The sequence below is a fragment of the Homo sapiens genome, chromosome 8, assembly GCF_000001405.40.
Source record: "Homo sapiens chromosome 8, GRCh38.p14 Primary Assembly".
In the NCBI taxonomy this organism is placed as follows: domain Eukaryota; kingdom Metazoa; phylum Chordata; class Mammalia; order Primates; family Hominidae; genus Homo; species Homo sapiens.
Genome location: NC_000008.11, coordinates 132,949,222 through 132,976,312, shown reverse-complemented (window position 1 = coordinate 132,976,312; position 27,091 = coordinate 132,949,222). Strand labels below are relative to the sequence as shown.

Genomic DNA, 27,091 nt, shown 5'->3' with positions numbered 1-27,091 from the left:
CCATGGAATGATGCAGCAAGAAGGCCTTTGACAGATGCTGGCTCCTTGATATTTGACTCTCCAGTCTCCAGAACTGAGAGCCAATACATTTCTGTTTATTATAAATTACCTAGTCTGTGGTATTCTGTTATAGCAGCACAAAACGGACTAAGACACCTCCCAAGCACAATTTCTTTCTCCCATGTTTCCGTGACACTTTACTGATAAGTGTTCTAGTATTTCATTTCTTCTGCTATATTTAATCATATTTCCTCATATTTTCCTCACTACACTGTGTCTAAGGAAAATGAATATATCTTATTAATCTCACTTTCCACAGTGCCCAGTACAGTATATAACTGAAAACAGACACTCAGTAAAGTTGAAAAACTTATAGTAAGAGAGACCCAGCACAAGAATGTTGTATTTATTTATAATCTTTAACTCCTTCTTAGACTGTGAGTGACTGCAAAACAGAAATCATGGCTTTTTCACCTTCAATCACACAACATAGTGATTTAGGGTCAGAAAGACTTGTGTCCAGATTCTAACTCTGATTTACTTTCTGGTGACCTTGAGTAAGTGACAACCTCTCTGAGCCTCTACTTCCTCATGATACATGGGTGTGAAAATTAAGTGAGATAGTGCATGCAAAGTGTTTGGAATCCAGCCAGGCACACAGTATGAGCCCAATACATAGAGGTTATATTGGTAATGCCAGAGGACCCCCAGGTATGATTAACGCTCAGTCAATGTTGGTTGAATAAGAACCCCTCTGTGAATGTTTAATTCCCTGCTCTAAGTTTCTGGTCAAAACTCCTGAGTCGAGTCCCCAGACTGACCCCACAGAATATATGCTGGAAAAAGTTAATGATCTATGCAGTCAGATGAAAAGAAAAAGAACAGATGGAATGAGTTGGGACAATGAGTACCTTGATTCCTTCCCCTGCCAACTCCTGTCAAGATGTTGTAACACTCTGGTCTGATTCTCATTACTTCTGAACAAATGAATTACTTCTTAAGCTTCTTTTTACCCGATTCTTCCATGAGTAATATGAAGATGGAAAATGACATTTTTAAGACTTTGGTGAGGTAAGGAGGTAAGAGGACAGATGGGGCAAGGGGGAAGTGAGAGGTGAGAGCTCAGTTCTGAAGTCTCCCAAATACCTAGTGCTGGCACTGGGTCTCCTTTGGGGTCAAAGACCTGGGCAGGTATTTTCTCCCTTCCTCTATGAGTTAAAGCAGGGAAACTGTTATATATGGAACATTATTCCTTTAATAGAAACCCACTGAGGATATTTCATTATACAATCCTGATGTTTTTCTTAAAATAATTTCAGATGTTAAAATAAAATAAAAAGCCAATAGAGTCAATTCAGATCAAATCACAGGATGCTGAAGGTGGACACCAGCAGGAAGATTCCATTCAAACTGGTAATAATTAACTCCAGAAACATCTTCCATGAAGTTGAGGCACACACAGGGAATGGGTAGGCTCATGAGCAAGGGCCGAGCACCAGATACTGCCTGGGAGCTGCATCTGGATCTTTCATGTTGGATATGGCTATGGAACAAGGCACCAAACCACCAACTGGTTTGATTTGTTAGTTTATCAGTATTTATTCTTTTTAATCTGTTAGTCAATTTCTTGTTAATCAATTGAGTTGGGGGAAGGTCAGTCAGGAAAGGTATCTAGACATTTTCCTGTCTAGTCATTTTTGGGATGTGAAAGACCTGCCAGGAGGCAACATCGTAAAGGGAAGGAGAATAAGTTTGGGGTCATCAGGTCTGGGCCTGAAGCCTGCCTCTGTTTCCTACCAGCCGTGTGGTTTGGGTCAAGCAATTCAACTTTCTACGCTGCAGTCTTCTCACCTTAAAATGGAAAAAACAATACCTACTCTGCAGGAGTATTATGAGTATTAAATGGTATAACCCACGTAAATCCATCATGGTCTGAAACGGCAGGGACGTGAAGAATGTAATTTCTTCTCTCTTTGCCTACTTTGGACAAAGGGTTATATTGGGTGAAATAAAGAATGTGGCTGGGTGCGGTGGCTCACGCCTGTAATCCCAGCACTTTGGGAGGCCGAGGCGGGTGGATCACCTGAGGTCAGGAGTTCAAGGCCACCCTGGCTAACATGGTGAAATCCCATCTCTACTGAAAATACAAAAATTAGCTGGGCATGGTGGTGGGGGCCTGTAATCCCAGCTACTTGGGAGGCTGAGGCAGGAGAATTGCTTGAACCCAGGAGGTGGAGGTTGCAGTGAGCTGAGATCGCGCCATTGCACTCCAGCCCGGGTGACAAGAGCAAAACTCCGCCTCAAAAAAAAAAAAAAAAAAAAAAGGAATGGTCAAATGTAGGGATCTCGAAGACCCCTTCCACATTTCCAGATCAGACAGTCCATGGCTCTATTTTCTAGGGCAAGTGCTAAGTAAGAGCCAGAATTCCCCATATATTTACTCTGAAACTAATAAGGAAGCCACTAGTGGGAGAAGTTGGAAATACTAAACCTCTGCTCAGCCTCTCTCTAATTTGACTCCTCCTAGTTGAACACAGGGTGTTCCATCTTTTTGGATCTGGGACATCTTTGTGAATTTGCTTCTGGGACACAGGATGAAGATGTCTAGTTTCCATGTGGCTGCCCACTATTCCCCAAATCTATCCATACCATAAACACATGTGATGTAAGCGGTGACAGAATCATAGTGAGTCTCATTCGCTGTTTTCACCAATGGAAAAACTGAGGAAGTGGTGTGACTTTCCGAAAGACAAACCCATAGTAAGTAGATGGCAGAGTTGGAACAAACCTAATGTCTCCTTATCTGAGTCCAGGAGCTCTTATGCCACACTGTAAATGCCATTCATTCCTTCATCAATTTCAAATTGAGCTCCTAAAACGTGCCACATAGATATAATCAGAATCATACTTTAAGGACCCATGTTGGGTCAATGCTGCCTTGGCCCTGAAGTCCTAACTCTATATGCATTGTCAAATACACATTGGTTGTCCCCGTTTTCCTCCATGGGACTACCATGTGGTACATTGTCTTGATTGTCAAGGTAAGAAAACCAAGGAAATGTGCCAGAGTCTATATCTATTGATTTTGCCTGTCCAGCAACAGTGCCTTCACTACTGTTTGAGGAACACCCCCTATCCTAGTGCATACCATCTTGTTAGGACCGTCAAGCTGTCCCACTCTCCCTCTGGCAGCGTGCTGACTAAGCCCAGGTGGGACCAAACTCTCCTCCTTGAATTTAAAGGTTGAATATAACCACTAAACCCTATGGAGCAGATTAATGATGATCATGGCACACTGAAGAAGTTGCCTATTTGTTCTTGTTACATACATCCATGGAAATGGTCCATTTCCGTCTTTACTGAGACCTAGTTGCTCATCCTTCCTTTGAGTCAATGAGCAAACTTTCAATAAGTTTCTTGTCTGCTTAAGTTAAACAGAATCTATTTCTGTTGCTTGAACCCAATGAGTCTTCATTAATCTACTCACCAATCCAAGAATATTGTCCTAATGCATGGCTGGGAAATAGTTAACTAAAGACGTCCATATAGCTGTCATGAGAAGGGTACTTACTGGGCTTCTGGTACCATCCGAAGGGATAGGTGTGGACTTCAATGTCAGGAGAGCCACAGTCCAAAATGCGCCAGGCTCCTCCATTCTCCTCACTGCACATCTGAATTCCCAAGCTGTTCAGAGTGAGACATGTCACCTCTCCTCCTGGGGTGGAAAAAAAAAAAACAAAAAACCACAATCAGGAAACTGAGTACAATGGAAGAGTCTAATAAATGAGAAAAATTCTGCAAGTACATTGTTCAGCAGACATTTGGGATACACCACTATATTTCAGATACTATCTCAGCCACTGCTGAAAAACCTGGTACCTGAACTCAAGGAGCCTCTGATCTAAGAGCAAAGGGATAGAGCTACTTATCAAGCACCTAACATGTGCTTAGGGCTGTGCTAGGTCTCTGTTGGTATCACTTCACTTGGTCCTCACATAACCTTACGAGGAAGGTAGCTTTGGTAGCCCTATATACAGATGAGGAGGAAACAGAGGCTCAGGGAGATTAAGTGACTTTTCCAGAATCACACACTAGTAAGGGAATCAACCAAGCATTAAGTACACATCATGCAAATGGATCCAAAGTTCGCCAAGCTGCTTGGCCTAAGTGTTGAAAGATGAACAAAAGATATCCAAGCCAAGAGTAGAAGGAAGGAAGTTTGGCCAGGTAGAACTGCACATGTAAAGTGATGATCACTGGACTAGGAGCCATGTCTCAGCTACCACATTTATTAGCCAGTTGCCCTCTCCAAGCCCCCATTTCCTTATCTGTGAACGAGGATAGGAGATGCTGAGGATTTGTAAAAGCATAGATGTGAATGTGTTTTCTAAACTGCAGAGTACTGTGCGCAGGGGAGAGGAAGTTGTTACCATTATTACCTTTTAACTGGGAAACATTTAGAAATCCAAAGCCAGTGCAGCATGGGTCCGCATCGCACCGTCGTTCACATTCAAAGAACCTGGCATAGGAAGAGAAAGAGCAGGCCTGAAGGTTTTCACTGGTGACCCAGGACCTACTGGGTGGGCTGATGGTAGTCATTCTTGCTTTGGGGAACTAGCTTATTTTTTTACCCCCTACTTAAACTGGGGGTGCTTTGGTCAATATGCATGAGTGGATTCTTAGCTTTGAGGTTCTTTCTGAAAACAAAATTCTACTCCTCTCAGGAATACTGTCCTGCCATTAATCATTTATTCACCCATTCATTCATCATGCATATATTCTGTGCCTATTATGTGCCAGGCTCCAACCAAGCTAACCCAGGATCCAGAATGTACTCTTTCAATCCTTTCAGGTAAGCAGAAGGTCTCAGCTTTGGACACTGGGAAAATAAAGAAATAACAGGGAAGGCATTTCTAGAAAGAGGAGAGTCCATAGGCTTACAGTCAGGGTGACCCAGCCAAGGGCCTGTGTAAGCAGCCAGAGCCGAGCCTGTGCTCCCCTTCACTTCCCCTCTTACTCAGTGTACAACGTGGATAATCACTCTCTACCAATGCATTTCGGTTTACTGGGTCAGCCCACCCAGCCAGGCTCTCTCAAGACTGACCTTCTTATCCACTCAATAACTAAGCCCCACCCTCAGCTTCTAGGGCTATTCATGGCAGGAGGGACTTAATGGCTCCAAACCAATGTTTCTGGGGTCAATTCCAAGTTTCCCCTGCCCCGACCACTCTGCTCCAGTCTGACCACTCATTCGTGACTCCTGAGAGCTTTCTCAAACACTTAGCCCCTTCTTGGTGAGGGGATCCTGCCTCGTATTGCCATTCTCCTTCCCTGAACCCAAGCCACATCCCAGCGGTGATGCTTTTACCTGCTGGGCAGCATCTCCAATGTTGGCAGCATCTGTGCCCTGATGCCTGCAAGTCACCTCTCTGCTTTTCCATCTCCTAGTTCTCTGCTAACCTGTCCACTTACTGCTTCCTTTTCCTATCTTGGAAGCTCATTTCTAAGATCCAGTCTGGACCATGGATTTTCCCAGCCAACTACATTTTCCTGAGTCCAGACGCACAATCTACTCCCCTAGTTCCCATCACAGCTCCGCGGTCAGGCTGATCCCTGGTTCCAACCCTCCTTTTCATCCACCACTCCCATCAGCACAGTGGTGTCCAGCTGAATCTCAAGACAGACTAGCCTGCCTCATCTTTTTACCCCCATTTTCAAAAGTAGATCTTAAGCACCAGCAACATGATTCAGTCATAACTCAAGAGCACTTCATAGATCAATGGTTCATGAATGGATGACACTTGAATTTTTAAGTATAAAAGAATCACCAGGGGAAGCTTCCTTAAAGGTCAGATTCTTGAACTCCATCCCAGGAAATGCTGATTCAGCAGGTTTGAAATAGGACCCAAGGATGCAGTTTATAAATAGGACCCAAGAATACAGATCTGTGGATCTCACCCATTAGAATTCACATTCAGCTCTCCGGGTGATTCTAATGGGTAAGATCCACAGACAATACTAGGAGAGACATCATCTTCAATTAAAACAACTAAATAATGACTAAGCAAATAAATCAATCATAAAATAAATTTTAAAAATAAAAAATAAAAATTATTTATATGTATATGAGTCTGTTAAAATTTCCACTTGCTCTCCAGATTCTGAGCACTGCAATGTGAGGTTTTGACAATCAAATTTAGTACCATACTTGATAATTTATATTAAATAATGCTCGGTGGCTCTTTCATCATCCAGCGAGTAGTTCAAGGCTAAATGTTGTGTTTACTATCAGTAACTTACCTTAGCTGAGGTTTTCAGATATGGTTACCTCCTTATTATCTTTTACCCCCTTAGCTTTGGATTTTATAGTTTTTTGTGCTTTTTTTTTTTTTTTTTTTTTTTGACAGAGTCTCGCTCTGTTGCTAGGCTGGAGTGCAGTGGCGCAATCTCAGCTCACTGCAACCTCCACCTCCTGAGTTCAAGCAATTCTTCTGCCTCAGCCTCCTGAGTAACTGGGACTACTAGCATGTGCCGCCACCATGCCCAGCTAATTTTTGTATTTTTAGTAGAGACGGGGCTTCACCATGTTGGTCAGGATAGTCTTGATCTCTTGACCTCGTGATCAGCCCAGCTCGGCCTCCCAAAGTGCTGGGTATGCTTCTGTTTTTAGCTGTGATTGTGTCATCTTCTTTGAGGAAGTATTATTCATAATAAACATTAGGGGTGAGACACAAGTAGCTTACCCATTAGAAATAGATTTTTCAGACATGGGCACTTTATTTCTAATGGATATCCCCATCAGTTTTTGGAACGGCAGGCGAGTGTAAAAGTTCTTCACTTTATCTTCCAGTATAACTTCATAGAGGAAGAAAGAAAATACATTACTTAGAGATTTGCTGTAGTCATGAAAATATGAGGACAAATGAGTAAAATACAGACTGAAAGTTTCCAATTAAAGATGACATATTAAATTCATATTAAACCTCATTTCCTAACTCAAATCTCACTAAAATGATGGCAAGTCCACAGGGACAAAGATTTTTTTTAAAAAAGTGGAGACACAGCAACAAAATGTTGGAAGCTAGAAAGCATATGGAGAAATAAAAATAGGCCTAACAGACCAAGAAAACTACTCAACTTTTCTGTGGAAAGAACAAAGAAGCAACGCCATCTGCCCTCTGGAATCCCACAAGGTTTAAGTATGGCAGCCCTGGGGGTGAAGGTGGCCCAAACAGAAGTACTGGCTGGAATTTCTTTAAGAAGCTATTTGGCCTCTAGATGCTCTCCTCTCCTCTCCGCAGCTGACAACAGCCCTCTCCCCACCACGGAAGAAGATAGAAGGTTCGTTCTCTCAGGACGACAGAAGAGAGGATCTCTTGGGTGCATCAGATACAAACCATGGCATGAGCACTTCACAGAAAGTAGGAGATTCTTTCAAGTCAGCCTGCATAATGAATATTGAGGTGTCCCCCCGACATTTTCCAGATTTATTTGGTGCCCAAACCACCAGGAGCCAGGTTCGTGCCCCAAGGCCAGGTGTTGAGAAACTCCTCTGAAGGAGGAACCTAAAAATACTGGCATGAGGAATTCCCCAAAGGGCAACCCAACAGGATTATCCCTCAAAGAAACCTAGAGTCAACAAGTTCCCACCACACATTTGGGGCTGCCCAGTCAGCTTGTGGACCCCTTTGACATTCGAGTGGAAAAATAAGGGTCACTGGACATCTGAGAAAGACATCCAACAGAGAAGATAGAACAGTAAATGAAAGGTGACAACATCTGGAGAAAACAGACTGTATGGGGTTAAAAAAAATCTCCAAAAATATGGCATCATTAATGGCCTGGGAGAGAAAATCACCTTCTATCTTGTTAAAGTCACTGTTGCTGACATTCCTTGTAATATACAGCCAAATGGGATTCTGATGCATGTATTAAAGGTGGCTGTCTTAGGAGAGGATTATTTTCTATTGTCAAATTGATGCAGTTCTAAATGGCTTCACATCTCTACAAGGAACATGAATAACTTTACTTTTAAAAGAAGAATAAATTAGTTTTAAGTGTGAATAAACATTTTGGGTTTTATTTTTTTAAAGCCCACTTCTGCATTGAAATACTGCCCCCAAATAACCCTTTTTCATATTTTTTGTTTAAACTGAGACAATTACGTAGTAGTTTATTGATTCTAACCGTGAAAGTTTGGATCCATGTTCCCATCTTCTTGAAACCAATAAAAGTATAAAGAAAATGTTTTTTAAATAAGAAACTAATGTGGATCTTTCTAAAACCACAGAGCCAGCAGAACATTGGAAATACAGTTTATGCAGATCTCTCCAAGTGCTCACCTTTCTTCCGGAACAGGGCCTTTGGCATCTGAGGCAGGATCAGTCTGCAGCCCTGGGCATTGGACTCCATGATGTCATCACACACCTGTGCCTCTGGGTAGAGGGTGCAGGTGAAGTACAAGGATGCACTCTCTGTTATCTCTGCGAGCTGACAGAAAGAGTGCTCCTGCACACAACCTACAGGCAAGAGAGTAGTGTGATTTTAGTTTTTGTGGGGTCTACAGGGGAGAATAATCTCTACAGGATTCTCTGGGTGGGGAAATGCCTGGTAGAGATCCCTCCTAGTTAGGGCAGAGGCCTGAGACTGTCATGATCATCCAGTCTGGAAGGCCCATGCAAAAACGCTGGGGTTCTGCTAGCTGGGGAGGGGGCCGTGTGCTCCTGAATAAAGGCAGAGTTGAAGGCATAAGGGACAAACCTCAAACTCAGCAATACAAGAGGCAAAAGAGTAACATTGCATTGGATCTACCCATGGCCATCTCAGAGGAAGTCAGGATCTGCAGACCAGAGGTCACAGGACTGTAAAAACTGTGAACTTTGTGAATGGTCTCCCTGCACCTGTGCCCAAGTCAGCCTGTGCCCCTGGTATATATGAGCTCCCCAAGGGCAAGGAACATGGTTGATTTGATTCATTTTGGGTGTTCTCTTTCTTCTCCAAAATCAAACACAAAGCTTTGAACATAATGCATACTTAATAACTGCCAAATGGATGGATGGATAGATGGATGGATGGATGGATGGATGGATGGATGGATGGATGGATGGTTGGATGGGATGGATACATGGATACATGGATGGATGGATGGTTGGATGGGTGGATGGATGGATGGATGGATGGATGGATGGATGGATGGATGGATCGAATGGATGGATGGATGGGATGCAAAGATGGACGGATGAATGGGATGGATGGATGGATGGATGGATGGATGGGTGGATGGGATGGAAGGATGGATGGGATGGATAAATGGGTAGATGGATGGATGAATGGGATGGATGGGTAGATGGATGGATGGATGGATGGGTGAATGGACGGATAGATGGAGAGACAGGTGGATGAAGATAGGTTATGGAAGCAGAGTAGAGATTAACTACACTGTAACCTTCTTGAAGATATGGGTTATGTGCTATCTTTCTTTTATATCATCCACAGTGATCCATGAGTTATGACACAAAATTTGGCCTTATCTGTGTCTCAGGAGTTGCCAGACTTGGCCTGTGATGCCTGACTACAGTGTCTGGAAGAAGAAGAATGAGTTCTAAGGATACTTACGAGAAAGGCACCATAGGTTTGCCTGCTGGGCTGAAAACAGGTGCTTGAAAAGCCAGTGCTTCTGGCTGGATAGTGATTGATTTCCATTGACAATGACCTGGTTGAGGTCCACAGGGGAGAAAAGTTCTGTTGTCAAACCTGAAAAAGAAGCAGGGAGTCAACTTCCTGCACCTTTAACTCTAGTGAATATGAGAAAAACACAAGAAAGAAACACACACACACACACACACAGAGAGAGAGACAGAGAGAGAAAGTGTCAGAGATAGAGACAGAGACATTTTTATGCTGTGTGAAACCAGAGCAGGATTGAAGTCAGTAGAGCTGGGAGTTGGGTCAGACAGGAATAGTTCAGAAGGCCCCAGGAAGTCCTAAAAATTATGGGATGGCAAAATCTTAGACTCTGGGTTTGGATAAAGCCTTGGAAGTTATCTGGTCCACCTTTTCACCTAATGCAGAAGTTTTCCCCTGGAGACTTCTGTCTAATGCCTCTATAGCTCCACATGACATCATTGTGCTAACCACAGCAGCCCACTCCATCATTAGGAAGTTGTATAGTCAAGTCCTCTTTTTGTAACTTTGAACCACTGATCCTCTTTTTGTCTTCTGAAGCCACATGGAAGTCCAGCCTCTCTCCAAAATGGTAGTCTTCATCTACAAAGTCAGCTTTCAGCTCCACTTAACCCAAACTTGAAAGTTTTAGCTCAACCATTCCCTGACTCTGTCTTCAGGTATTTACATGCCATGATCCCAGCTCTTCCTGGAGTCTCCACTGCCTACAGAAAATAAGTCCAGATTCTTTTCTTAATCTGGGCTCTACTTGCATTTTCAGCCTCAACTCGGATTGTCTTGATTTGCACTTCAGCAACACAACAGCCCTGCTAACTCTAGCTCATCACCACACTGTTTGCAGTCCCCATGCAATTGCTCATGCTCTTCCCTCTGTTGGCTCAAGCTCCATTACACCTTCCTCCACCACCCAGCTAGTGCAGCTTGTGCTTTGAGGATCAGCTTTGATCCCTCTGGCTCTGATGTCCTGTGACTCTATAAAGAGGTTCTATAGGGCCAAGGACCCCAACACCCAGGCCCAGTGGGGATAGCTCTGTAACCTTGGAGGGCTCTGTCTTCCAGGGGGATGTACAACGATGGCAAGATGCAGATCAGGGAGATGAGCTGGGGAATGTTTGCAATGTCCATTCATTCAGGGCTCTGTATAAGGGGCACTACATCCCATATATACCTCCACTTTGCTGTGGACTTGGGCCCTGCACTTTCCTTGTAGTGCTTGTCAGCAGCCATTTTCCACACTTCATAAAGCAGGCTCAAGGAGACTGAGCTTCTTCACTAGAAAGAACCACTGGACAAGGTAAAGGCTTTATGAGTACTTGGAAAGGTCAGAAGTTTAGTGCTGGCAGAGACACCAGAGACCATGTCACCATCCCAGCCTGCATCTCATGTGATTGTATGATGGCCAGTTCCCAAGCCTGTTTCCTCACTGAACCATGCCTGGCACAAGAGGACAGAGACCTCAGAGATCATATTGCCTCCCCAGCCTTCATCTCACATGATTGTATAATGGCCAGTCCCCATGTGGGTCTCCCCATTGAACCATGCCTGGCACAAAGTAGGAGCTCAGGGAAATCACAGATTGCCCCTCAAGAAAGCAGAAAGAGAAGAGAAACAAGGCAGCAGGACTGAAGGCACACCTGCTCTCAGAGCCTTGGCACAGGTGTTCCCCTTACCTGGAACACCTTTTCTCAGGTATACCTGGGAGCATCTGGCAGATCCTTCTGGCCTCCTCCGAGAAACCTTTCCTGGCCCCTGCAGGCTGCTAGCATTCCTTCTCCTGCATTCTCACTGCAACCGACACCTGTCCACATTGCATCCCTTGCCACACTGTCATGCAGTGGCTGGCACATGGAATTCTCACTAGCCTGTGAATGTCCAAGGCCACAGCCACATGTGCTCAAAAATGTCTGGTTGGATGAAAGAATGAATACTGTAGCCACTTCATCTTATACCTGGTTTACGTGCCGTATTAGATTAAGCCATTTCCTATTTCTCTTAAAACTATGTGCCCTCCTTAAAAGCAATGAGACCAATCACTCTCGTTGGCTTCCTGGGTTTGTCTCAAACATTCAGACTGATGGGAGTAACCTGATACACAAAGGGGAAGATTCCTCACTGTCCTCTGAATCAGAGAGGCCATTCTCATGGACCCTGAGAAGCACCGTCTGAGTAAACGAGCCCACGTGGAGATGCCACTCGGCCTGGACTCAATGTGATTTTTTTCTCCAGGCACTTTATCTACTTGAGCCCAGGAATGCAATCAACTGAGAAAGGGAAAACTGAGCTGAGCCTTGTCTATTCACCCTGACTCCCCGCAAGGTCTCCAGTGGGGGCCAAGCTCCCCTTCTAGGGGAGAGGGAAGAAAGCAGGGGGCAGGGGGAGCATCTTGTGTGAATCATGTGAGAGTTTTGCAGATGCTGCCCTAAAGTAGCCCTAAAGTAGTGTGTGATGATGGATTTGACAGAACCTTCTCAAGTGCCACTAACTCACACACATTTACATTATCACAAGCTGTGTGGCTGCCCCTCAAAGGCACTGCCGAGGTTGAGGATCACAAACACAACGCCTGATCAAGCAGGGGAGGGCAGGGTGCTGGGCATTTTTTAGGCATGTGTTAAGTACCAGGCACTGTGCCAAGTGGTTGCTATCTAACGGGATAAGAGGTAGACAAGATTCTTTTACACATGAATCCAGGGATCTTAGCAGGGAAGCAAATTACCCATGGCCGTGCACTAAGGCATGTAGTCAGTGGCAGAAACATGGTTCGAGCTCTAGTATCTGCTCTGTAGCATGACGTTTTTTTCCCCTGTACCATGCTGCCTTCCTGTGCCAGCAGTCTGATCTGGCTCTCCCTCTTCTTATTCCCTTCTCCTTCCTTCTTTCCTTCTGCTCCTACTCCTATTCCTACAGTGCGTCCATGCATGCAAATACACACACACACACACACACACACACACACACTGCAGACCACATGCAGATGTCTTGTCTCCTGGTCCTTGCTGAGCCCATATTGAGCAGCTGATCTCCCTCTCTCTCTGAGTTTCAGCTCCACCTCAGTAATAATAATCACAGACTCTGGAGGTAGAGAAGTCCAGACAGTACATACGTACTGTTCCTATTCATGTTTGGAATCACAGCTTTCACTGTATGCCATGACATGCAAAAGATTCTCACAGACATGTCATTCATGAAACAATTTCAGAATATTTACACTTTGTTTATACTTTTCAGGGCTGACATAAGTGAAGCCCATTGGCCACAGTCAGGTGAACCTTGCTCTTTGTTTCTTTTTTCAGGTTTTATTATTATGGTTGTCTTCATTTCCAGTAACACTTATGAATTTGCAGTGATTTTGCCTTACTTTCTGTGACAATTGCCCATCTGAGGAGCTTCCCATATTTATGAGCTGGATAATTGGGTTAAAAGATTAAAGGAGAGTCCATGGATACAGAATAGAGTGATGTCAATACGTCCGTTCATTGATTAAACTCTTGGTGCACCCATTTAGTCTCTGCATTCAGACACCCAAGTGTGTAAGAAGGTTTGGGGGTCAGTACCTGCTTCTGTTGGAGATGCTGGCCTTGGCACTGTGTCTTTTCTACATCCCATAGACTCAGGCCGAGACCCCATGTCAGAATCTAGGAGGAAAAAAAAGAGTTGTTGCAATGTTGGGGAGAATGGGTAGTACTCCACTGGTCAACAAAATGGTAGTAGCAATGTGAGAAAAATCAGGCCCTAAAGCCAGGTGACTTAGAGAAGATCTGCAACAGATGCCCTGACATGGATCTGCACTCTTTTTTATATGGAACATCATCCAACCTCTCAGTGATAGAACATCATTATCTGTGATATTGAAATTATTAACATACGCAAAGCCCTTTCGAGTTAACAAAATATGCTCATAAATATTGCTGTTTATAACTCCCTGTGTAGGTAGGGAACAAGATTTCCATTTTACTCTTGAGAAAACTGAGACTTAAAGAGGCAAAATAATTTATCCCAGACCACTCAAGTGGCCAGTAAATGAATTAGAAATTTTAACAATTTAACTAAATGTTCAAGTCAGGAACAGGTCTTCCATGAAAGCGAGTGAGCCTGTGGCAGTGCAGGTATCAGGCAGGCCTTAAGGCACTTCTCTGTAGTGCGGCAAATGTCCTGGAGAAATGTAAGTCCCTCATTTTTCATCAGCTAACACTTTATCAGAAATTTCTGATAACTAGGAAGTACTGGACTTGGGATCTCCTACCAGTGTCTGGTTTCAACCCCAGGACCTCCCAGGCATACCATGGGCATTTCACGTATCCTCTCCAAGTCTCATTTTCCTTGCCTGGAAAATGAATAAAATATCACCCCCTCTTTAGGCCTACATTATGGGTATAATTAAATGAGAAAAGAAGTACATAATCTCATTTTATCTCTTTAAAATGAAAATGATGGTAAACACCTTCCTTTTCATTTTCTCCTCCCCCTCCTTTTCTCCTCTTCCTCCTCCTCCTCTTCTGCCTTCCTTCTTCACTTCATCACCACCACCCCCACCAACATTACTCAGCATGTATGATATCCACAGCATTGTTTTGTGCATTGATGTATTATTGCTCAGGCAATTCTGAGGCCAGTGGCGTCTGTATCGCACGTTACCCATGGGGAATCTAGGCATGAGGGGCTGGTCCATGGGCTCCCAGGCACATGAATGGGGATTGATAGGAACAGGATTCACATCCCATCATTCCAAGTCTGTGCCTTCCTGCTCTTTCAGTTTATCAGCATGTAGAAGCAAGTCGCCAATCCTCTCTTGGGACACTGAAGATCAGCGAGGACAGATTAGGGGAACAGGAAGGAAGTAATATGGGGTCAGAGGCTTTTTCTCATGCCTCTCACCCAGCACATATGGCCATGACCTGTGATGGGCCACTGCTCTATCTGCTCCCTCCTGAGGCCGGAACCCTTCAATAGTCAGGGCTGTGCCTCTCGTCTCTCCCCTAAATGCCTTTCATTTTCCCTGGGTCTGAGTAGGCACTTGGTCAACATTCAGAAAACGTGAAGGAGGACAAAGAAACAGAAGGGAAGTGCCAAGCATACATGTTGTCAGACTCTCCATTTTTCCCACACTCTGTCCCACACACCCAGAGTAGCATTATCTCTGAGCAGGAGATCAGGGCACTACCTGCCTGGGGTCCTGTCCCCAGTCCCTGGGCCTCAGGGTGAAAGGCACATGGGGCTGAGTCCACTTGGACAAATGCCTCCTGTGCTTTGCAATGGCCCTGAACTCCCCTCCTAGGAACAAGGGTGTCTTGTGGTCAGCAAGCTTTATCTCGCGGGAACCTAGTGCTTCCTCTATCCATCCCTTCTTGGGTTTCCACAGTATTCATTTTTGTTTTAGACTTTGGCATCTTATCTGATGAGTTGGAGCCCTTCTATTCCACAGAAAGTATGCATTTGGAAAGTGACTCTCTACCTATTCCTCTACAGAAATAGAGTGCCCTGTGAATGAGAGGTGGTGCCAGACAATCTCATGTAATCAGCGTCCTGCTAACCCCCTCTTCCACCACGGAGCTCACCTTTCCAGAGATAAACCTGCTGAAAATTGGTAAAGGTGTCTTGAGTTCCTTCTAAGGGTGTCAGACCTGCAAAGGAAGATGTTTATTTTTATGAGCTTGAGTGTGCTGTCACTGGGTACCCACCATTACTGCAATAGCCCCATCTCCCTTGACACAGGCTCTTCCTAGGCCTGAAAACTCTGTTTCCCACGTAAGATGTAACCCAGAAGCTTCTTGCAGCTCTATTCCAGCTCCCTAGTACAAAACCAGAGCTGGTCAGACATGGGTGTCATACTCAGGGCACCAAAGGGACTACTTCCATGAGGGGTTGTGAACCTATGACTCGGGAGAGTCACTTAAAGAACTGGAGATTGGCTTGAAGAAAGTAAACCTCCTGGGACACTCGAGGGCTGTGTGAGTTTCCCACATCACTTAACTCCTCAGAGACTCTTGCCTCATTGGTAAATGTGGACAGCGATTTTGAGAATGGGAATACTGTGTATAAACTATCCTCTGCAGTCTTCAACATTTGATAGGCAGCCACTTGTTGGCGGCTGCCACAACTCAACCGATTAATAATATTATCCGATTTTCCTTTCTGGCAAACTGTTCTCCCCTGGATCCCACTCTGGATGACACTAGGCTTGCCACACCATTTCCTGATGGTCAGTGCTGCCTCTTTTGCCCCTGCTCAGTCTTCAGTTCCTTTCAAATTCCCTGTGACATGGAAGGTGAGGGAAATAGCCCAGATAGCAGAGTCTGGAGGCAAATAAGCCCCATGCTACAGGAGAGGGCTGGCTGACAGCCTGGGACATCGAGATATGATCAAATTTTGTTTTTAATTATTATTAGGAGCTAGTCTTTTTATACCTTTATTTAAATTTTTATTTTATTTTACTTTAAGTTCCAGGATACACATGCAAAACTTTGTGCTGGTTTGTTACATAGGTATACGTGTGCCATGGTGGTGTGCTGCGCCTACCAACCTGTCATCCAGGTTTTAAGCCCTGCATGCATTAGGTATTTGTCCTAATGAAGAGCTAGTTATTGATAAACAGTTATTACCATTTATCCAACACTAGCAGCAGTGTCTAAGGGAGAGAATACAGTCATGGGTTCCTAGTTTCTGTTTCTGGTTGGGCCAGTAAATCCCCTTCCTCATCACTCTTTTCTGCTTATCACTAAAGACAGAAACTAAAAACCATGGTTTCAGAATACTAAAAACCTAAAACAAAACAAAACAGAACAACAACAACAAAAGGTGGACTGGACAAGCTTGCACAAAAACCTTCCTTATATTACCCAATTTAAAACTCACAGGCATGATATAAAGTAAGGTCCCTGATTTCCAGATAAAGGAATCAAAGTCAAGAAAGGTTAATGCAAGAATTCAAACCCCATCTATTTGGCTTCAAATCCCATACTCCTTCCTAATCACCACACTAAGGAGAGGATAATATACAGCCATGCATCTCTTACCAACCAGAATATGTTCTGAGAAATGCAATTTTGTTGTTGTGTGATCATAGGGCGTACTTACATAAGCCTAGACGCTCTATATACTTTTATTTACATATATTTTTCATACAAAAAAAGTCCCAGCATCATTAATGAATCTTAATCATTTCCCCTACTTGATCTGAAATGTCAGTATCAAGTGCTATGTATCAGGTTTCTATTATTATCCATTATAATCTTATGCATTAATCTTATAATCTTATTCTCCATTTAATCTTATGGGACCACCATTACATACATGGTCTTTCATTGGTCAAAGTGTCTTTTTGAGGTGCATGGCTGTACTTCAGAATTCTGTCCATCTGACATGGCAAAAATGTTAAAGGTGTTTGTGTTTAAAGAGGTGTGAACTGAACTCTCTGGAAAACGGCTCTCAAAGTGACAAGTCTCCCCGGGGCTACCATGTTCTAGGACACAAAGGTGAGACAAAAAGACTGAGTTGCACTTTCATTTGATTTTACTTCTGAAATGGGAATAAACAATGGTGCTAGAACTTCTCAGACTGTGCAATATTGAGATGTTTCTCTAAAGGATCTACTCAAAATTCTGTCATAGCCTTCTTTAGAAGGTAAAAGTTATTTATAACAATTTGCGCAAGTGAACACCTATGGCATCTGAGAGATGTAGACTTGGATCTCTGCAATTACTGGATTTGTCCTCCTTGTCCTCCACACTGCAGAGGAGACCTCACCATATACTCCTACTGCAACAACACAGAACCAGTGGTTGCGCACCTGCTCAGTTTGTGTTCCGTTTTCACTCTCTCCTCATGATATCATCATTTGCTTATTTCAAAGCTCAGGCTATGGGGTTTTAGACTTTGTCACAAGGGAAATCAGATAATTTTTTTGAAACTTTTTTTTTTTGAGACAAAGTCTTGCTCTGTTGCCTGGTGCAGCAGCACGATCTCGGCTCACTGCAACTTCTGCCTCCCAGGTTCAAGCAATTCTCCTGCCTCAGCCTCCCAAGTAGCTGGGATTACAGGCGCCCACCACCACACCTGGCTAATTTTTGTATTTTTAGTAGAGACAGGGTTTCACCATGTTGGCCAGGATGGTCTTGAACTCCTGACCTCGTGATCCACCTACCTTGGCCTCCCAAAGTGCTGGGATTACAGGTGTGAGCCACCGTGCCCAGCCTTAAATCTTTGTATACCCAAATCTATTGATATACTGATTCTTTAAAGATAGATAGATAGATAGATAGATAGATAGATAGACAGATAGATAGATAGATATGCCATATGTAGATACATATAGAGAGAGCTATAGATATAACCTATATACTCATATAGGTAATACAGATGTAAAGTGAATAAGGTTTTTAACATACTTTTGGTCATGCATTATAATTCTTATTTAACCTGTAAAACTTAAAGAAACAACATTTATCTCTAGAGTATTGTATTGCTCTCAAGTCTAAGGCTGAAGCCAATGACCCCATTAAGAAGCAGTTTACCATGAAATATATTTGCAGCGACCTGGATGAGACTGGAGACTATTATTCTAAGTGAAGTAACTCAGGGATGAAAAACCAAACATCAGATGTTCTCACTGATATGTGGGAGCTAAGCTATGAGGATGCAAGGGCATAAGAATAATACAATGGACTTTGGGGACTTGGAGGGAAGGGTGAGACGGGAACAAGGGATAAATGACTACAAATAGGGTGCAGTGGACACTGTTCAGATGATGGGTGCACCAAAATCTCACAAATCACCACTAAAGAACTTACTCATGTAACCAAACACCACCTTACCCCAGTAACGTATGGAAAAATAATATATACATACGTGTGTGTGTGTGTGTGTGTGTGTGTGTGTGTGTGTGTGTGTAGTTTACCATGAAATCACTGGGGAATTTGGGTTACAGTCCCTCAATACAAATACAAATTCAGTCACATCCCCACGCCTGCCCCTTCCTAAGAGCCGTAATCCTTAGGAAATGTCAAGAGGAAGGTCTTTACCTCTCAGCAGTCTCAGTGTCTGACTTGCGGTGAATTGGTGGTGAGTATTTCACTCTCTCTGAGACTCTTATTTCTGTCGGTGTGTGTGTCCTGTTTTACATAATGTCAAAAATTATAGATGCTTTTCACCACTCAAAGACAAATGGGTGCTTCCCGCAGGTGCACATCAGTTTGGGACTGTATTTTTGGCCCAGAATGTACTGAACTGTGATAGGAAGCTGACACCTTATACACTCTGTCCATCTCAAGGCAACAGAGCCCTGGGTCTGCCAGCCTGGGAAATATGCTGTCTTAAGTTCATCCTTGGTTTTTGCCTGTTTCAACACAATTTAATCCAATGGAATTCAACTAAATTCAGCACATGTATGTAGAGCACCTTTGTAGGTCCAGAAAGTCACCTGACCAGCACCTACAGAGATTATTGTGTCCTGGGAAGCACCTTTGTCAATCACCACAAGGAAAGTTATAACCCCTTGGTGGTCTTCATTGTTAATATGATTGCCAAGTCTCCATAGGAATACATAGAGAATACTGGGTAAAAGAAAGAATGTTTCCCTTCTTTCTCTTATCTTCCTCATCTCTCATTCCCATCCCTACACCCAAACTCACTTCCTCCTGCTTTCTAAATCAGTTAATAGGACCATCTTCCTCTTGGGTCGTCCTTGACTCCTTCTCCATCAGTCTCCACATGCATTCAGACTAGTCCCTAAACTGTTCTTTAATCCTTCCTCTCCTCCAAACCCTTCCTCTCAGCTCAAGCCTTACCACAACTCCTAACTCCATTAGGTTTAGCTAATCCCCACCCAGGCTTTGACCTTGGCCCCTTCCCATCCCTCAGCCACATAGCCCCCAGGTACTCATCCTGAAAGACAAACCTACCTTTGGTCCTGCAGGAGCTACAAGGATGTCAGAATTCAGTTCCTTGCAATCTGGCTCATGACAGCTGAGCAGCCTCATGCCCTAATCTGTCTCCAAAGTGCCCACCTCCCGAGTCACACTGAATGCTTGCTGTCAGGCCTCTGCGTCGTTGCATGCCTTTTTCTCTCTGCCTAGAACCCTGTTCTCTTTCACTTGATTGACCTCTACTCATTCTTTCAGAATCAGGTTCTGCATCACTGCCTCCTGAAAGGCTTCCCTGAGCTCTCCAGCTGGTCACACACCCCCGTCCTCTGAGTTTGCAGTATTCAGAGATCTTCTCTTTCTCTCCCCTCATGCCTGGTAGTTACTGTCCAGATTCCTGGATACACTGTAAGTCCCCTCTTTATATCACCCACTCCCCCAGCACAATTCTTGGCACAGAGCTGGTGTTCAGTATATAAATAAATGCAAGGATAAATGAAGGAGGGAGAACAAAACAATGAATGATACACAGAGCCCACCAAATAAACACAGAACATTGCCTTCCCACGCATCAGAAGGTTAGCCCCAAATTAGTTTTTCTAAACAGACTTCTGACCCTTTACTCCATTCCCCAAAATTTCCCTAATAGAATAGAATAAGAAGGTACACAGAATGCAAGCAAGCATCATTCCACCTCTTCCCTGATAAATGATCACAGTTTTGACTGCCTAGAAAATACTTTCATTTCTTCCCCAATAACTGAGTTAGAATATCCCTTCTACACATACAGGCCTCCAGCCCCTGAATCAGGGTCGCTGCCCCTGTGATCAAGGCTGAAGGAGCACAAACACACTGAGAACTTGAGGGTCTGGGCACAGAGCCCATTCTCCAGCATTGCTGGGTGTGACGTGGTCTTTATTCAGAAAACTTCTGAGGAGATCATGCGCTGCATCTGCGGCAGTCAATTTTAATCCACACCCTCAGATTAAACTGGACAGGATCCTAAACGGAAAAGCACACTCTAGGAGTGGTCACATGGCATGGAAAAGCTGCTGTCCAGGAGCCCCGCCCTCCAGGAAGCAGTCACAGATACATCAACTCTTTATCCCAGTTAACACCACCACCACCGGCCTTTGTTAATTAGCCTACTGAACGCTGGAAATAGGTACATATTTATTGGTCAGATTCATAGCATTCAAAACATATGGCTTGGCTAAATGTATCACAGTGTCACTCCTATGCTGGCAGGAAGAGATTGTGACAGATTCCTGAGCCCAATAGCCCTAGAGCCGTGGCTTGATTCAAAACGGGTCTGTGATCAGTCACGGATCTGAAGGATTCTTGTTCATCTGATTTTGACAAGAAGGTGAGTTGAGTTCAGCTGTGAGAATAGTATTGGTTCTGTCTTAAATAAACCTTTCCAACAAGGTGCCAAGGATAGCAAGATGGGCCTTCACTGGGGCCACTGAACAGGTGACAGGTTGCGACAGTTTCTGGGCCTGTTTGCTAATAACTGCTTGGATGTGTGGCAGAATTTGGAGACTTGCTTTCATTACAATCCACTAGTGACTTGTGGGGGGAAAGACCTCCAGCCACCAAAGATGACCATTATGAAGAATCAGCTGACAATCCTGGGCCTCCAGTGTTGGTTAGGTAGGTTCAGAATGGCTGCTGTAGGTCCTGGAGGCATTGATATAAGGATGGAGTCTCCCAGGGTCCTTCCCAGCAGATGGTGCCTAGCCTCAGGGGAACCAAGGCCTGCTCAGCTGTACCAATACAGTGGCACTTGCCTCAGGAGGCCATGTGTTTCCCTTGCCCCTCTGCTAGACAGTGAGCTTCCTTAACAGGAGGCAGATATCAGGATCTCTACATCCCACTTCCCAGAGTGAAGCAGATCTGAATAATGATCATATGATCGTGGAATAAAGGAAACCCAAGCTGTGCTACTGGTGAGCTGAATAACCTTGAGGAAGTTCCCTTGAGTCCCTATGCCTTACTCTCCCCCTCAGTAAATGGAGAAAATGCCATTTCTCTCCAGGTCTTAGATGATGAGTGGAAATGACGTATGCAACATGAACTGCTGTTCTATGCCCAGGGCTCTGAGGGAGCTGCCGAAAGCCACAGCTGCCCTTGGCACAGTGGCAGGATGGAAGGGTTGGGAGCTGCTGTCCTCCCTGCAATTGTCAGCCAAGTCCTCTGCAGCACCACTGGGTACACACCCTGTTCCTTGGCCTAGCTGGCGGGGTCATTCTGAAGTGTGTTTTGCACTGATCCAGGGAATTAAGTACAACTGGCCTCAGAGTCCACCCTTTATTGGCTGTTGTGTCTTCTCTGTGTTACTTGCCCTGAGACTCTGTTCATATTCCTTGTCCTTCCTATTTAAATGACACTCCTGAATCTTTGTCTCATGGTTGATTCTGGGGGAATCCAAACTATAAACTAAGACACAAACATAGCACTAAGCACATGGCAATGCACAACCTGTGACAGCAGTAACTAATAACTGTAGGGCCCTTTTTAAACGACTCATCCTATTCCTAGGCATTCATCAGCCATCTCATCTAGATGCGTCTGATTGCAATGAGTACCACAGGTGTACTGTAACTTTCTCCACTGAGGTCCTGGCACCCCAAGATAATGACAATCACTGACATAAAACAGACCCCTATAAAGTGAACACCAGGCATCAGGCAAAGCCTCACAATCACTCAACATCAAGCCTTTTGGATTCAGGATGAACCCAGTAGTATTTCTGCCAAGGCTTTTTTTTTTTTCTATCAAATTTTACATCTGTGTGGCATTAGGGGACATTTAATCTGCCTTTTTTCCATTCATTTGCACTTCAAGATTTGTCAAAAACTAGCCATATGCAGCCCCAGAGCTTTCTAAGATGTTTTTCTGACAAATAAGAGGGTTGACCCAGCCAGCAGCAAATAGTTGAATGCACTCAGAAATGCTCATTGGAAATTTGGGAGATCCAGATCCTGAGTGGATTTCTCTCTGGAGAACACATGTCAACCCAGTTACCAAGTGAAGCAAAATCTCATATTCTCAGCCATCACTCATTGCTGATGGCAGGAAAGAGAAACCTCACAGCAAAAGGTGCTGTGTCTCCAAATTAGATAAAAATAGCCTCCAGGTGTTTCGTGGGATTAGTTGTTTGGGGTATAATTGTTTGTTTGTTGGGGGCTGGTATTAGAAGTCAGTCCTAACTTCTGTGTGGCAAGTGACCTGAATGAAGCTTTTACCAAACAGAAAAGGATATGCTAAGGAGACATTCTGTGTTCCTACAATCCCTGTCAGTCCACTAAGGTGGGCAAACAGGAGGCCTGCTGTATTTAATAATCTCTGTATCTCTCACCCCATCTAGCCTGTGAGCTCCTTAAGAACAGAAGCCACTGTCCCCATCTTTGCATCTGGACTTGGCCAGGTCACCTCACCCTCACATCTACCCAGCAGCTGCTCAGGATATGAGGGAGGGAGGAGGAAACACAGGGGCTGCTCCAGCCTGGGGAAGGGCTCCCCACAAACTCACCTCCTCCAAAGGTGTTTGCACATCTCCCAGCTCCCCTCTGCAACTCACAGTTGACCCTACAGCTTTCCTGAATCTTCTGTTCCCTTCTCCCAACAGCCCTGTAAAACCCTTGAAGTAGAATATCCCATTAGCAGGCATTAATACCCAATATCTGGAGCATAGCTGGCCCCAAAGTGATGTCTGAGGAGTGACACTCTCAGTTACCGGAGACCCCTTAATTTTTCTGGCACAATAACAAGGAGAACTCCAAAGCACTTTCCACTTCCAGTAAATTGCACATAGGATGGTGGAAGCAGAAGGCGGCAGCCAGGAGTGGGTAGAGAGCTTCCACAAGATAGCACTGGTCTCCTAAGCTGAAGGCTTGAGCCCCAGCCATGGCACTAATGCAAAGATTGTTTCTTAAAGTGTGTCAAGTCACAGCTCCAAACTTCACTCTCATGAGTGAAATTGTGATATAACCAACTGCCTCACCAGAGTGCCCAAAGGATCGATTGAGTTGTACGTGAAAGTGCTTTGCATAATACAGTGCAGATATTAATATATTTACTACTTGAATTTGTGTTCTTTTGGGTTGTGATTTCCTACACCTGGCAATCAATTCATTTGTGCTTTAAAAACAAATGCCAATTCCCCATTACCCAGATCATGTGTTGAACCATAGCCTGATAGTACCCGTGAATTGATCAACGAAAGCAGGTGTCTGCACCCGAAGTCCCATAGGTGCCTCTGTTGGGTGTGCTGTTAGGGAGCCAGGGACCAGAGAACAAGGCATTCTTCGACAGCCTGGGAAGCCTGCCAGCACTTCACTCAGTAATCTGTGAACGAATGCGCCCATTGCACAGATGGAGGCCCTGAGGCTGAAGGTGGTCAAATGTCTTGAATAAGGTCACAGAGCTAGGGGAAAAGCCAGGCTCAATCCCAGGCATTTTCACTCCCAGCCCTTGTGCCGTATCTCCAGTGTCCACCGCTAGCCTGCTGTGCTCAGCACCACTCTGCTGCTCCACACACATTCTTCTTTAATCCTCTCAACTACCTGGAGAGTCAGAGTCCACCATCATCCTCACTGTGTAATTGGGAATACCAAAGCCTAGAAGGGCCACACATTGAGGAGACATTCACACTGGAATTCAAATTCCAGGGCCTGATTCCAGAGTCTGTCTTCACAACCATCTATCCCGTTGTTAAACTGGGATGAAGAGGCCAGTCCCCAGTCAAGTTTAGTGGAGATGGAGTTTGTCTTTATTGTCCCTAGCACCCCCTATGTTCTTTCAAATCATTCCATGCCCTCCCCTGCAACTGTTCCTGTACCCAGAATCCTCCTCTTTTCCTCCATCAATATCTGTTGTTAGAAAAGGGTATCTATCAGTTCTTCACGCTGTAGTTAGAATTTAAATTATTACACTCCCTCCCTCTCACCTCCAGGGGTTAATCGTACTAAAAGACTGACCTCTTATTTTGAAGAGGAAATATCTGTGCCCTGTTGCCTTCAGTTGGAGGTAGCCTCCTACTCAGCCTTTGTATAGGGCAACCTCCAATTTGGAGTATCAAGGCTGCCTGAAATCCCTATCATAGTGCACACTTCTTAAAGCCTTGCCCTCACCCACAATACACACACACATATAGGGCACTGAAAAAAACAAACATTTCAAAAGTCTTTTGGTAACCGCTACTCTGGGAGGCCAGACAAGGGCACAGTCCTCATTTCTTGGGCACATATCAAGCACATGCTCTGGGTTGAGCAATTCACTCTGGATTTACTGCCATGAATATATCATATGTCTTTCTTGAAATGCCTGTATTCACCCTGTGCTACCTCTTGGAGTAATGAATACCATATGTTTACTACTCATCATATAAATAAGCGATTTGATTTTATTGACGCCAAAAGAAACTATTTGTGCTTCATGGAATTCCACCAAATTCTGTGATATTTTATTTTCAGAATTTGGTGACCATTCACTCACAGATATATATATCTTTTTCTATGCCATCATTATAAAGCATAGCTCAATGGTGGTAATCCAGAAATTAATGAAACACAATTCAGTTTTTAAAATATGACAGAAAACAATGACAAATTGAAAAAATAATGATAACATCATCTAATATCAATACCACAGATCAGGAACTCTGCTAGTTCTTGATCTGCAAGGGCCCATACAGAGAAGTGGTTAAGAAAGGCAGTGAGAGAGCCAGAATGCTGGGTTTCAGATCCCAGCCCTCTTATTTACAAGCTCTAAGACCTAGGGAAGTCCCCTAACTGCTATGTGCCTGAGTGTCTTCAGCTGGCAAACCGGGACAATGATAATAAGAGTGCCTCCCTTGAAGCACTGTGTTGAGGACTTGTGAGTATAGGTCAAGGCCTCAGAGCAGGGCTGCCTCAGAGGGTGTGCTACATAAGTCATTTCTATTATCCTTATTTTTTTATTGTTATATCCTCTCCTTTTATCCTCCCAACCCCGTGAGATGGGTACTGGTATTACTGTCATTATATAGACAGGCAATTAGGCCTGAAAACATTCATTCACCTACTCCAGGTCACACAAGTGGTGTCCAAAGCTAGGATTTAACATCACAGACAAACTTTCCACAGACAGGCAAATGCGCAATTGCGGCACGCTGCTGACTGCACTGCCTAACAAAGGAATGGGCAGAGCATCCATGAAGCTCTGTAGTCGAGGAAGCACTAAGCCCTGTGGGTAGTCAGGGAGGGCTCTTGGAGGAGGTGACATGGAATGCTCTGCCATTGGAACCCTGAGAAATGCAGGATATAAAGGTGTGAGTCTCAGAAGCTTCCCTGGGAGGCAGGAGAGAGTCTCTGCCAGCCTTTGGGAGACCACTTCCTGCAGCAACATAAGCACCCAAGGGTTCCCACAGAAAGAATCCCACTGACCCTCTCACATCAGGTGCTCAGTCTATCTGGTCAGCACCTGCACATGCCTTCACTGCTCTCAACTCAGAAGGTGGAGTGGAAGCATGGAGGTGCTTTCCCAGTTCAGGTTCTGGCAGATAAATAGACAACGAGGAGCAGGGCTTCCCCTCAACCTCACTCTGGAGCTGGAAGAACAAAAGGAACAGCTGGCCCCATCTTCATCATAAGTCAGACTCTCAGTGATGGAAGGAAACTTTCAAGCCATCAGTGCTACATAAGCATTATCTGGACCACTTGTTAGAACACAGATTCCTGGGACCCACCCTGAGGGCTGGGGTGTGGCCTGAGACTCTGCATTTCTAACCAGCTTCCAGTGATGGTGGTGCTGGTGGTGCTGGTCCTGTCTTTCCTGATCACATCAGTGGTACATGGTTGGCCAGTCCCTAGCCCAGCACAGAGTGGGCATTCACTTTTTCCTGATGGGGGTCTGCTGGGAGAGGCAGTGCAGGGCTGTGAAGGTGATGCCACTGGCTGGGGGGCCTCAGGCACTAACTGCCCATCTCTGGAAACTGAGAGGCTGGGGCAGATGATCGCAGAGATGCAGCCTCACTATAGTGTTTATATGTTTGTAGAAAAGAGCTTCCAAGAGAAAGAAGAGGAAAGAGAAAGCCCAGTGGTTATTTCTGTTAGTTGAGTCCATGCAATGGAGCCCATGGTCCCCTGCACCCATCACTAGAGTGGGCAGTACAATTGGTAAACTTGGAATTTCTTAACTCATAGAGGGGGAAAATATGCCTGGATGGGCATTAGTTTGGGGGACAGATTGCATTTCAGGCTCCAGTTTTCCATCCTTCTTTGTAGTCATACTATTTGCACATGACTTGGCAGTCCCCCCAACTAAAGGAGTAGAGTCTATTTCCCACCCTTTGTCTCTTGTTTAGCCATGGGATTTGCTTTATCCAATAGGATGAGGCAGAAATGGTAACGTGACAGATCTGAGCTCCACCAACAGAGGCCTTGCTTATTTCTCCTTTTTCCTGCTTCTGCCATCTACAGAAGAGTACGTTCCTCCAGAGGAGGATGAGAAACTCATAGAGCAGGGCCCAGATGTGCCAACCAAGACTAGATGAGATCCATCAATTG

At 44.5% G+C, this 27,091-nt stretch overlaps 1 protein-coding gene across 13 annotated transcripts in view; it reads right to left on the bottom strand.

The window, feature by feature from the left end:
• TG (thyroglobulin) overlaps positions 1 to 27,091 on the bottom strand; it is a 267,942-nt gene that overhangs the window by 158,587 nt on the left and 82,264 nt on the right. For 12 of the 13 annotated variants that reach the window (NM_003235.5, XM_017013794.2, XM_006716622.4 and 9 more), the window contains 7 exons: positions 15,240 to 15,305; positions 13,239 to 13,319; positions 9,616 to 9,753; positions 8,343 to 8,519; positions 6,744 to 6,855; positions 4,440 to 4,519; positions 3,572 to 3,715 (listed from right to left, as the gene is read on the bottom strand). In NM_003235.5, the coding sequence (NP_003226.4) occupies positions 3,572 to 3,715; positions 4,440 to 4,519; positions 6,744 to 6,855; positions 8,343 to 8,519; positions 9,616 to 9,753; positions 13,239 to 13,319; positions 15,240 to 15,305 (798 nt within the window). The remainder of the gene's footprint in view (positions 1 to 3,571; positions 3,716 to 4,439; positions 4,520 to 6,743; positions 6,856 to 8,342; positions 8,520 to 9,615; positions 9,754 to 13,238; positions 13,320 to 15,239; positions 15,306 to 27,091) is intronic. The other variant, XM_017013793.2, reaches the window with a different exon arrangement.